At 46.8% G+C, this 13,456-nt stretch overlaps 1 protein-coding gene across 12 annotated transcripts in view; it reads right to left on the bottom strand.

The window, feature by feature from the left end:
* Positions 1 to 13,456, bottom strand: part of RALB (RAS like proto-oncogene B) — a 54,641-nt gene that overhangs the window by 23,404 nt on the left and 17,781 nt on the right. For 4 of the 12 annotated variants that reach the window (XM_047445363.1, XM_047445365.1, XM_047445362.1 and 1 more), the window contains exon 2: positions 2,257 to 2,317. The exons of 5 other annotated variants lie outside the window; for them this stretch is intronic. Coding sequence is in view for 3 of the 7 variants with exons in the window: in XM_047445358.1 (XP_047301314.1) it covers positions 349 to 364 (16 nt within the window). In the remaining 4 variants the exon portion in view is untranslated. Of the gene's footprint in view, positions 1 to 348; positions 447 to 2,256; positions 2,318 to 13,456 lie in introns of those variants that run through there. 3 more of the 12 variants (XM_047445358.1, XM_047445361.1, XM_047445360.1) reach the window with 2 other exon arrangements.

Raw genomic sequence — 13,456 nt, 5'->3', positions numbered from 1 at the left:
AGCATAAAACCAAATACCAGAACATATATTCACTTGAGAAGTAAAATGTATTTTGAAAGCAAATCATAGTACATAAAACCATACATGTTAGGAGGAAGAGGTGGTTTCTACTAGCGTTAGTCCCATAGGCCAATATAGTCAGTCTTTTATTAAGCTTGAGCAAAGAGGAAATGCGTTGGTAAGTCGTGTCCAAATGCCACCTTGCAGTATCATAGGGTTGTCATGAAAATCACAAATGAGAATCTGAAAACCTAGGGGAAACCTAATCTCTCAGTCCCCCTCCTAAAATTCTGTGTCCTGAGTATTACGGCAACAGAAGCACACAGCAAACAGTCAAACATTACACACCTGCCAATAACTGCATTCAGCACTCCTCCAGACAGTATGAACTGAAGGTCACCTAGTAGGCCATAATCATAATATTTGAGTCTGGCAATCCTAAAGCTGGGACAATGTAGGGACAAAAACAAGAACAGTATTGAAAACAGACCCCTGAAAAATTAGGAATCCAGAAATCCATAACTATAATGAATATTAAATAAACAAGGGAGAAGGAAGGGCTCTGCTTCGGGAGAACACCAAGGGGAGACTGGTCAAGGTGGAGGGCACACCTGAGTCAGAAAATTCACATTTTCCTACAATCACAGAAATGACCTTTCCTTTGTTTTAATCCTTACAACAAAAACTAACCGATTTTAACCAGTTATTTTCCATTGTTGTGTCTCCCTGTTCCGGCCTTACAAAGAAAGTAACTTTGAAACGACCTATTTTGGGTTCTATGTTTCTGCATTTTTCAGCCCTTTTCTTTCCACAAAGCCAGCCTCCTCTCCTCAGCTCACTCGAACACAATCTTATGGAATCACATGCTGCCCGATACCAGAACTGCAAATAAAGCCAGTTAAGATCTTTAAACTACATTTGTGATAATTTTGTCTTTTGACTTTACAAAAGCTCAAACTCAACAGTATAGTTAAAATTCAACTTCCTGTTATTTTTTTCAAACAAGCGTTCCCAACAGGAAGCAGTAATGGAAAAATGCAGGGAATCAAAATATGGTAAGAAATGTTTAATTCAACAGCTAAAAAACGGGAAAATAATTTGAAAAGCAAAGGAGAATTATAAGAAGAACTGAAAGACAAACAGATAAGGAGAAAATATTTGCAACACAAAACAAAGTAATATCCCTAATATATAAAAAGCCCCTGCAAAGCAGTAAGTCAAACAACCTAGTTTTTTTAAACGGGCAAAAAATGAAGAAGTACTTCACAGAAAAGTGGGCACAGATAACAAACATATGAAGCTAAACCCAATTTCTCTAGTAGTCAAGGAAATGTAAATAAAACATTAGATTGGGTTCATCAAGAGTTTGGGGAAATGAATACTACTGATATTATTAACTGCCACAGCCTTTTGGGAAAAAATAAGCAACTACTAAAAGAATTATATGAATGTAAACCTCTTCCAGGAATTTATTCTACAAAAGTATAAGGATATAATTACAAGAATAATTTTTTGTCACTAAAAAGAATGCTATAATAATCTTTAAAATTTCCATCAATGGGGAATTCTTGCATAAATTATGATAGTGAGAGGTGAAGCCAGCTGGACTTCCTGGGTCGAGTGGAGACTTGGAGAACTTTTCTGTCTTACAAGAGGATTGTAAAATGCACCAATCAGTCCTCTGTAGCTAGGATTGTAAAACGCACCAATCAGCGCTCTGTGGCTGGCTAGAGGTTTGTAAAATGTGCCAATCAGCACACTGTAAAATGCACCAATCAGTGCTCTCTAAAATGGACCAATCAGCACTCTGTAAAATGGACCAATCAGCAGGACATGGGTGTGGCCAAATAAGGGAATAAAAACTGGCCACCCCAGCCAGCAGCAGCAACCTGCTCAGGTCACCTTCCACGCTGTGGAAGCTTTGTTCTTTCACTCTTCACAATAAATCTTACTGCTGTTCACTCTTTCAGCCTGTGCCACCTTTGAGAGCTATAACACTCACTGCGAAGGTTTGCGGCTTCATTCTTGAAGTCAGTGAGACCATGAACCCACCGGAAGGAACAAACTCCGGATACATCTTGGGAACAAACTCCAGACACACCACGTTTAAGAGCTGTAACACTCACCACAAAGGTCTGCAGGTTCATTCTGTAAGTCAGCAAGACGATGAACCCACGGAAGGAACAAACCAAATTACAACCAAATTTTAGATTATCCAGCTATTGAAAAGAATGGAGAAGTGCTATATGTACTGACCAGGAACAATGTCCAGATGTATCCATTTAGGAGGAGGTACAAAATGGCAATGATCCAAATTCTATCAGAAACGTGCAGAAAACATATAATACAATGTCATTTGTTTAAAAAAATTGTTTGTTTATATATAAACAAAGAATTATTGTAGGATACAGAGTTAATACTGGCAACAATGAAGTTGGACTTTCCTTCTTTTCTTTCCTTTCCTTCCTGTTCTAAAGCATTCTGATAAACTTTCACTCCTGCTCTGAAACTTGCCTCGGCCTCTTCTTCCGCTTTAAAAAAAGTTTTTTAAACACATACTCCTTATTTTGCCTAATTTGAACAAAGTAAATTGAGGAAATCTGAACACTGAGTGGATCTTAATTATTTATTTTAGGATAGGTTCTTGCTCTGTCACCTAGGCTGCAGTGCAGTGGTACGATCATGGCTCACTACAGTCTCAACATCTTGGGCTCAAGCAACACCCCCCACACACACTCCCGTCCTGGGCCCTCTGCCCCCAACTCCAGAGTAGCTGGGATTACAGGTGTAAGCCATGGCATCTGGTCGGATTAGCCATTCATTGACTGATGGTGACAAGGTAGCGCATTATGTACTATTCTCTATACCTTCGTATATGTTTGAAAATTTCCACTAAAAACAAACGTAAGGTAAATTAATTTATACCACAAAGGGGGATTTACTAGCAGACTACTAATGTATGTCACTGACTCGAAACGAAAAACTATGCTACAGGAAGGAGGCCGAGGATAGGGCTGGGACTCAGGAGCAACTGGACACAGGGCCCTGAAAGCTGCCAGACCATCCCTGTGATTCTCGCCACATGCTGGCTCTGTCTCTCTTCCTTGCTGTGGACCAGCTTTCACCATGTGGCAAAAGCAGAGATGCCAATTTGTAAAATTTGGTGGCCTGCAGACATGCTTTGTTTGCTCATATAGTGCTTTTAAAAATTCATTTAGGCCAGGTGCAGTGGCTCATGCCTGTAATCCCAGCACTTTGGGAGGCTAAGGCGGGCAGATCACGAGGTCAGGAGCTCAAGACCATCCCGGCCCACATGGTGAAACCCCGTCTCTACTAAAAATACAAAAATTAGCTGGGCATGGTGGCTCGTGCCTGTAATCCCAGCTACTTGGGAGGCTGAGGCAGGAGAATCGCTTGAACCCAGGAGGCAGAAGTTGCAGTGACCCCAGATCACGCCACTGCACTCCAACCTGGCAAACTCAGCGAGACTCCATCTGGAAAAAAATATATATATATATTCATTTAGTTACTTACATTTTTTAAAGAACGATTTCACATAAAAGTCCAAATTTTTGGCATCGCTTAAAAAAATCAAGAAGTCTGACATTCCTAAGTCCCACTCAGCTGGTGCTGTGGAGCAGCTGCCGCTTCTGGAAGGGACATACACTATGTGAAAGCCAGCGTAAGCCTGCTGCAGTCTTACTTCCACCTGCCTCACTCATTTGCCTGGCTCCCTGACCCTGCTTCGGACATGATAGGCCCAGCCCTCCCGATCTCATACCCAGACCCTGGCCTGAGTCAAGCGACCTCCTTGGTCAAGTTCCCCTTCCCTTGTGTAGCTGCTATTCTAATTAGCACCAGGGAATGGAAAATGTTCATATGCTCATACGCGTTATGACTCAACTTTCCATGTCTATAAAAACCAGAAAGTTGAATTAAGTGATCTAAATTATCTTTCAATTTTTGACTTTTTTCTGACATTAGATATGCAAAACAACTCTAATTAGCCCTCCTGTATGCCTAAGGAAATTTGTTTTAGATATTTCTATTCCCTAATGGATACCTCTTTACCTGTCCCTTCCCACGCGCCCCCTCCAAAAAAAGAAAAACTAAATTAACAAAAACAAATGAAGTTAACTAAAACAAAAACTAGAAGGCTTTGGAGTCCCTTCCTGTAAGCAGGAGGCTGCTTCTGGTCTGTACCTCTGTGCACATGCTATTCCTACTGCCAGGACTGCCCTTCCTCCTGATGGAGGAGGATCACCTATAATTTAAGACTCAGCTGCAATATTTCCTCCTCACCTTCCTAGATATCCCCCGGCCAGCCCATCCTCCCAGTCTCAGGGGGCCCCCATGCCTGTCAATATTGTCTACCATTTCACTTAGGGAAAGTCGTGATTTCCCCCAAGATGAGGTCTGTTTGTCCCACCAAACTTCAAGCCCATTCATCTTTGTGTGCCCAGTGTGCCTGGTACTTGGTGGACGCTCAATATTTGGTAGATAAAACACCAGAGCTGGTGTTCTCCACCTGGGTTGTGAGGCCTCAAAAGGATAAATGGTAACTGGTAAGCTTTTTATTTATTTATTTTCTTTTTTAAGACAAGGTCTCATTCTGTCGCCCAGACTGGAGTACAGTGGCGTGATCATGACTCACTACAGCCTCAACCTTTGGGACTCGAGCAACCCTCCCACCTCAGCTTCCCAAGTAACTGGGACTACAGGCACACACCACCACGCCCACCTAATTTAAAAAAAATTTTGGCAGGGCACAGTGGCTCACGCCTGTAATCCCAGCACTTTGGGAGGCCAAGGTGGGCAGATCACGAGGTCAAGAGATTGAGACCATCCTGGCCAACCAACATAGTGAAACTGCGTCTCTACTAAAAATATAAAAATTAGCTGGGCGTAGTGGCACACACCTGTAGTCCCAGCTACTTGGGAGGCTGAGGCAGGATAATCGCTTGAACCCGGGAGGTGGAGGTTGCAGTGAGCCGAGATCGCGCCACTGCACTCCAGCCCAGGCGACAGAGCAAGACTCCATCTCAAAAAATAAAATAAAAATTTTGTAGAGACTATGTTGTCCAGGCTGGTCTCAAACTCCTAGCCTCAAGTGACTCTCCTGCCTCAGCCTCCCAAAGTGTTGGGATTACAGGCATGAGCCACTGTGCAGACGAGTAAGCTCTGAAACATTAATTCATTTATCTGATAACTTTCCTGAACTATAAAGCAACAATAAATGGTGGGAGGAAATTGGAAGCTTATTTTAATATATTTCTGAAATAAAGTCCTCCTCCACCCACCCATGGAATCTGGGATTCTGCTAGCCTTACAGATGGTTACACATTTATACAGATTCACTCTGAAGTTCCTGCTACCTGAAGAGGCAGCCGTGGAGACATTAGAGCTACTGGACTCCTAACAGCTGAAGGCAAATTTGGAATTAGCATACATGTCCCTATCCTGAATTATTTATTCAAATAAAACCTATTTAGAGACTTAAACAGATTCTACTACTACTTCTACTTCTACTTCTATAGCATCTCTAGTATATTGCATACACTCAAACAGAGTTTGTATGATTTGTCCAGGGTCACTTAACTAGCGGATGGCAGGGCTGGGACTGGAGCCCTAGCAGTCCATACTCTGAGCCACTACATGGTCTGTGCTCTATGAGTGGATTAGAGTGGGGTGGGGAAGAGCTTCAAGTATGATGTGAAATGTTGAAACTTATTTCAAGGACACAGATCTATGGGTCAGAAAGCTCACTAAAGAGGGAGAAAAATGCATAGGCAGGCAACACAGAGCACAAGCTCTAAAACAAAGACCTGAGAGAAAATATACAACAAAAATAGTTGTTATACAGTCATGCACCAAATAAAGAAGTTTCAGTCAATGACAGACCACATAATACAACGGTGGTCCCATAAGATTATAGTACTGTACTGTTACTGGGCCTTTCCTACGTTTCGATATGTTTACACAAATACTTCCCCATTGTGTTACAACTGCCCACGGTATTCGGTACAGTAACATGACGTGCAGATTTGCAGCCCATGAGCAAAAGGCTGTACCGTACGGGCTAGGTGAGTAGTAAGCTACACCATCTAGGCTTGTGTAAGTATACCCCGACGTTTGCAAAACACTGACATTGCTTAAAAGCATTTCTCAGAACATAGGTGTCATTAAGTGATGCGTGGCTGTATATACAAAAGAACTGAAAGCAAGGACTTGAACAGATATTTATACACCCATGTTCACATCAGCATTATTCACAATAACCAAGAGGCGGAAACAACCCAAATGTCCATCAATAGATAAACAGATAAATCAGATGTGGTGTAAATGTAGAATATTCAGCCTTACAAAGGAAGGAAGCTGACACATGCTATAACATGGATCACCCTTAAAGACGTTATACTAAGTGAAATAAGCAAGACACAAAAGCACAAATACTATGATTCCACTGATATGAGGTACCCAAAACAATCACAATGGGAGACAGAAAGCAGGATAGAATGGCGGCTGCCAGGGGGTGGGGGAAGAGGGGAGTGGGGAGTCAGTGTTTAATGGGTGCAGAGGTTCAGTTTGGGATGAGGAAGTTCTGGAGATGGATGGTGGTGATGGCTGCACAACAAAGTAAACATGCTTAATGTCACTGAACTGTACCCCTGAAAATAGGTAAAATGTTGAATTTTATCTTATGTACATTTTACCAGAATTTTTAAAAAGTAGTTATATACCAACTACAGTTGTGGGACAGGAAAACAAACCCTTGACTTGAATTCTGCCATTAAGAAGCTAACAGCTTTAGTTAACATTTCTTGTCCTCAGTCTGATCTACAAAATACAGGACAAGGCCAGGTGTGGTGGCTCACGCCTGTAATCCCAGCACTTTGAGGGGCGGAGGTGGATGGATCACTTGAGGTCAGGAGTTCCAGACCAGCCTGGCCAACATGGTGAAACCCCGTCTCTACTAAAAACACAAAAATTAGCTGGGTGTGATGGTGGGTGCCTGTAATCCAAGCTATTCAAGAGGCTGAGGCAGGGAGAATTGCTTGAACCCAGAAGGCAGAGCTTGCAGTGAGCCGAGATCACACCACTACACTCCAGCCTGAGCAACAGAGTGAGACTCTATCTCAAATAAATAAATAAATAAATAGGCTAGCGCAGTGGCTCACACTTGTAATCTCAGCACTTTGGGAGGCTGAGGCAGGTGGATCACCTGAGGTCAGGAGTTCGAGCCCAACCTGGCCAACATGGTAAAACCCCATCTCTACTAAAAATACAAAAATTAGCCGGGCGTGGTGGCGTGCATCTGTAATCCCAGCTCCCAGGGAGGCTTAGGCAGGGAGAATCGCTAGAACCCTGGAGGCAGAGGTTGCAGTGAGCCGAGATCGCACCATTGCACTCCAGCCTGGGCGACAGAGCAAGACTCTGTATCAAAAAATAAATAAATAATAAAATAAAATATAGGACAGGCCAGGCGCAGTGGCTCATGCCTATAATCCCAGCACTTTAGGAGGCTGAGGCGGGCGGAATGCTTGAGCTCAGGAGTTCGAGACCATCCTGGGCAACATGGTGAAACCCCATCTCTACCAAAAATACAAAAAATTAGCTGGGTTTGGAGGCTGAGGTGGGAGGATTGCTTGAGCCTGGGAGGCAGAGGCTGCAGTGAGCCAAGATCACGCCACTGCACTCCAGCCTGGGTGACAGAGCGAGACTTCGTCTCAAAAATAAAATGAAATACAGGAGGGCTATATCCTTAGGACTGTTATGAAGATTAAACGAAGGAATACCTATTAAAAGAAGTTCTCAGTAAGCACTTAGCTGCTTTTTAAATATCATTCTAGCCTGGGCACAGTGGCTTATGCCTGTAATCCCAACATTTTGGGAGGCCAAAGAAGCAGATCGCTTGAGCCCAGGAGTTTAAGACCAGCCTGGGCAACGTGGCAAAACCCATCTCTACAAAAATTAGCTGGGTGTAGTGGCATGTGTCTGTAGTCCCAGCTACTCAGGAGGCTGAGGTGGGAGGACCACTGAGCCCAGGGAGGTCAAGGCTCCAGTGAGCTGTGATCTCACCGCTGCACTCCAGCCTGGGCGACAGTGAGAACTTACCTCAAAATAAATAAATAAATATCACTCTAATACTCTAGAAAGTCTTGAGAAAGAAACTGGCCTCAGAGCCAAATATATGGTAAAGTAGGAAAAGCTGCCAGTCCATAAGAAAGAGATAAGGCAAGATACTTTTTGCTCAGACGCAGTCCCCCTTGTCCTGAGGAATGAAGGGGCCTGGCTTTGAGTCCTCCTTCAGCCACTGACTCACTAGAGGATTAGGCAAGTCACTCCCACTCACTGACAATATCTGCCCTGCCTACGTCTCAGGGCAGTGGAGAGGGACACGTGGAAAACGCGTACCAAAGGCATACTCCACCTGGAAACAAGCACAGGCAGATTTTCATCAACAGAAGCCCTTCACACCCTTCTTTCTTCATCACCCAAAACACAGCGTAATTTGCCTTAGAGGCATAACCAATGGGCATTTCAGGATGTCCCTGTCCTAAATCTCCCCAGCAACTCCCGAAACGGCTCTAACAGAAACAGTCTTGCCTTCTCTTCCCTGCTGTGTCAGTATGTGAAGGCTGAGAGGATCACACAAGGAAGCTGCCACCTCCCCAGCCACGTTTGGGAACTACGGTGCTAGAACAGGACCACCCTCCTCTTAAGGGGAGCACACTGCTGAACATCTGTCCTGAACAGTCACCACCAGAAGTGCAGGTGTCCCCACTCTTTCCTATGACTAGGGCTCTCAACCCAACAGAACTGCATCCATCTCCTGAAATGGCTAACCCACCTGGTCCCTGCAACCTCAGGCACACCAGCAAACCCTTCGAGAGCCTCCACCTCTTCTAAGAATGTTCCTCTACCTTCTAGCTCTGAGACCTGGGTGTGCCCTGGGGACACCACATCAAGCAGATGCTATTTCTCCTCCCATGCCATGTGCTTCAGGGCCAGACAGACCAGATATGTGTCCTTCCTCCCTCCCCAATGTCACCTGCACTTCAGTACCTCTGTTAGCCCCATCCGTCTTACAAAAGCCCCCATACCTTTGAGGCCTGGCCTTTCCAGCCATAATAGCCTGTCCTTCACCTTGTTACTATCAGCTACAGACTTCCTGGTCACTTCCCTCATTTATTGAGGACATCTGCTTCTGGTCTGCAGACTTCCATTCTACCCAACTCCTGTCGTCCTCCCCAATGACATCTGTGCATGTGGATGTCCCAGCCAAGCTCGGCCCCTCTCAAGTCCTTGATCCTCTCTTCTCCGAAAACCCTTTCTTTCCTTCTATCTAACATTATCATGGTCATTACCTGAACTTCACCGTCACCAGAAACAGTTATCTCCTCTAACCCTCTAGCCTCAGCCTCCATCCTTCTTGCTCACTTGTTCAAATACCACCCCCACACACAATTCTCTGCCCTCTTGACACCTGCAAGCATTGGCCTCCAGCACTCTCTCTCTGCATAACAAGACCCTCTGGGCTGCACTGCCTCCCTTCACCAGCTTAGATCCCAAAGCCTGACATGAGAAAAGCCCTCTTGCAGATACCTCATCTCCCTGCTCCCTTCCCCTCCATCTCACTCACTGTTTTCAGCACCTGCACCCAGCATGCAAATGCTGCTGTCGAGGGAAAGAAACTCAAGAAAGCAGCCTCCCAGCACTCCACTCTCAATGCACTTATGATCACAAACCACGAATGGGCATTCCCCCACACTTCCTAGTAATCTCGCTGTGACTCTCCCCTGTGCCCTCCCTCTGCTTACTCTTGACAGATAACCTAACCTCATTTGTCCCAGAGAACACCAAGCCATCAAACCCTAACTCCCTCAGAGCTCCTTCAACAAATCTACAAACCTTCCACGCCCTTCTTCTCCTTGTCTCCAGCCTCATGGAGTACACATTCCTGCTCTTAGCAAAGGCCAAGCCCTCCACCACCACCATGCCCAAGAACTTAATTCCTACCACTACCCTTCTTCCTGCAGCATCAATCAGTCTTTACTTTGCTACAGGATCATCCCCAACAGCATGTAGACACGTTCTATTGAATCTTCACCCTAAAGATTCACACATGCGTGTGTGCCTTTGACCCCCATATATCCTTCTAGCTAATGACACAATTCCTCTATAGGAATTATCTGTGCTAATGCTTCTCAAACTTTAATGCATAGTTTACCTGGGAATCTTGTGAAAACGCATATTCTGATTCAGTAGGTCTGGAGTGGAGCCCAAGATTTGGCACCACTAACCTAGTCTCTAATCATGTTCCTGACCCACAGACCCCACACTGTGTAGCAAAAGCCTTTGTTTCCTTCCCTCACTATTTACGGAAACCATTCCAATCCAACTTCCTCCCAATATAAGCTCACAGAAATTTGTGAGATCAAGATCACCCACAAACTCCACGTAGCTAGCTCCAATAAAAACTCTTCTTTCTTCCTTCCCATGCCCTCCTCCTCTTTAAAATGAGCAAGTAGCAAGAGTGACAAAACGCTGCCTGGAAAGGGAAGGCCCGCAGCAGGCCTGTATAGGGCCCCTTCCAGCGTCCCCCTCCTGAGGCCATCCCTCCTGGCTTCCACAGCCCACATTCTCCCACAGGCTGAGTGCTTCCCGGGTGGCTCTCTGGGCCCTTTCTCGGCGCCACTTGCCAGGCATTCCTCCTCCCCATCTAGATGTCAGCACTTCTCGGAGCTCAGTCTTGCTCCCTCCTCATCTGCACCACATACAGCCCAGTGGCTGTACAGACAACTTACGAACCTGAGGATGCAGCCCTGACCGCTCTCCTGGCCCCAGGCTCACAGCCTTGCTGCTGCCCCTGCCCACTGGGCTGCCACAAGATTCTCAACTTATTCCCAAAATAGAATTCTTGATTCTTCCCTCTTAAAATCTGCTCCTTCACTATCCCCCATTTATTAGCTACTGAAGTCACTACTAGTGAGAGGTGACAGCATGCTGGAAATCCTCAGAGCCCTCGCTTGCTCTAGGCACCTCCCCTGCCTGGGCTCCCACTTTGGTGGCATTTGAGGAGCCCTTCAGTCCCCCCACTGCACTGCGGGAACCCCTTTCTGGGCTGGCCAAGGCCGGAGCCCACTCCCTCGGCTTGCAGGGAGGTGTGGAGGGAGAGGCACGAGCAGGAACCGGGGCTGTGTGCGGCACTTGCGGGCCAGCTGGAGTTCCGGGTGGGCGTGGGCTTGGTGGGCCCCGCACTCGGAGCAGCCAGCCAGCCCTGCTGGCCCCGGGCAATGAGGGACTTAGCAGCCAGGCCAGTGGCTGCGGAGGGTGTACTGAGTCCCCCAGCAGTGCTGGCCCACCGGCACTGCGCTCGATTTCTCGCCGGGCCTTGGCTGCCTTCCCACGGGGCAGGGCTTGGGACCTGCAGCCCACCATGCCTGAGCCTCCCACCCACTCCATGGGCTCCTGTGCGGCCCGAGCCTCCCCGACGAGCGCCACCCCCTGCTCCACGGCGCCCAGTCCCATCGACCACCCAAGGGCTGAGGAATGCAAGTGCATGGCGCAGGACTGGCAGGCAGCTCCACCTGCAGCCCCGGTGCGGGATCCACTAGGTGAAGCCAGCTGGGCTCCTGAGTCTGGTGGGGACGTGGAGAGTCTTTATATCTAGCTCGTGGATTGTAAATACACCAATCAGCACCCTGTGTTTAGCTCAAGGTTTGTGAGTGCACCAATCGACACTCTGTATCTAGCTGCTCTGGTGAGGACGTGGAGAGTCTTTACGTCTAGCTCAGGGATTGTAAATACACCAATCAGCACCCTGTGTTTAGCTCAAGGTTTGTGAATGCACCAATTGACACTCTGTATCTAGCTGCTCTGGTGGGGCCCTGGAGAACCTGTGTGTGGAAACTCTGTATCTAACTAATCTGATGGGGACGTGGAGAACCTTTGTATCTAGCTCAGGGATTGTAAACGCACCAATCAGCGCCCTGACAAAACAGGCCATTCGGCTCTACCAATCAGCAGGATGTGGGTGGGGCCAGATAAGAGAATAAAAGCAGGCTGCCCGAGCCAGCATTGGCAACTCGCTGGGGTCCCTTTCTACGCTGTGGAAGCTTTGTTCTTTCACTCTTTGCAATAAATCTTGCTACTGCTCACTCTTTGGGTCCACGCTGCTTTTATGAGCTGTAACACTCACCGCGAAGATCTGCAGCTTCACTCCCGAGCCCAGCAAGACCACGAGCCCACCGGGAGGAACGAACAACTCCAGACGCGCTACCTTAAGAGCTGTAACACTCACCGCGAAGGTCTGCAGCTTCACTCCTGAGCCAGCGAGACCACGAACCCACCAGAAGGAAGAAACTCCGAACACATCTGAACATCAGAAGGGACAGACTCCAGACGTGCCACCTTAAGAGCTGTAACACTCACCGCGAGGGTCCGCGGCTTCATTCTTGAAGTCAGTGAGCCCAAGAACCCACCAATTCCGGACACGCTAGTATCCGTATCGTTACCAAAGCCAGGGACCTGGAAGTCATTTTTGACTCCCATTGCCTCTCCCCAGCTCAATTCATGACCATTTCTAGCTATTCCATCTCCAACATACATTTCAAAGCCATGCACTTCTTCCATCTTCTCTGCCACCATTCATTCAACAGCCCCAGCTTCCTAAGTGACCCCTCATTACCACTCCAGCCCCTCTTCAATCTGTTCTCCACACAGCCCTTCCAATGGGGCTTCTAACACTGCACATGAAACTGTGCTTAACGCTCCTTAAAGGCTCACCATGAGCGGCAGCTAAACCCTCCACTGGCCGTGGCCTCCGTGGCCTTTTCCTTGCCTTCTTCCAGCCCTGTGAATGTGCCAAGCGCTTTCCTACCTAGGACTCCTCCACACTCCCCCACCCCCAATCACGCGTGCCTGCACACACACACACTGCATTCAGGAAGGCCTGAAGCAAGAGGAAGCAAAGTCCACTCAAGAAACTCGAGAAAGACCTTCACAGCTATCTGCAGCAGAGAGAAAGAGGCAGAGCCCAGTACAAGATGACACTGAGGAGGTAAGGAAGGGCGGGATCATTCAAGACCCCAGTGTAGGCCAAGTTGAGGGATTTGGGACCTTTGACTGAAAGCACTGGAAAGCCACTGAAGTGTTTCAAGTCAATGGGTAACATAATTAGGCTTGAATGTTGAAAAGGTAATTCTGGCTACAGAGTAGAAAAACAGAGGGGTCAAGAGCAGATGTGGGTATGCACCAGGCCAGGCCGGCAACACGGTGGGGACTAAGGAGACAACAATGCACATGAGGAAAGTGACTAAATTTTAGGGCTACTTAGGATGTTAAAAAATGGCAGTGTTTACTACATGAACACATATAATTTGAGATTTTTAAAAGGTTTGCCATGCAAGTATTACTAGAGGTAACACATTGGCTAAAATTCATTCCTAACAAT

Source organism: Homo sapiens, chromosome 2 (genome assembly GCF_000001405.40).
Source record: "Homo sapiens chromosome 2, GRCh38.p14 Primary Assembly".
Classification (NCBI taxonomy): domain Eukaryota; kingdom Metazoa; phylum Chordata; class Mammalia; order Primates; family Hominidae; genus Homo; species Homo sapiens.
This window is presented reverse-complemented; position numbering and strand designations above follow the sequence as displayed.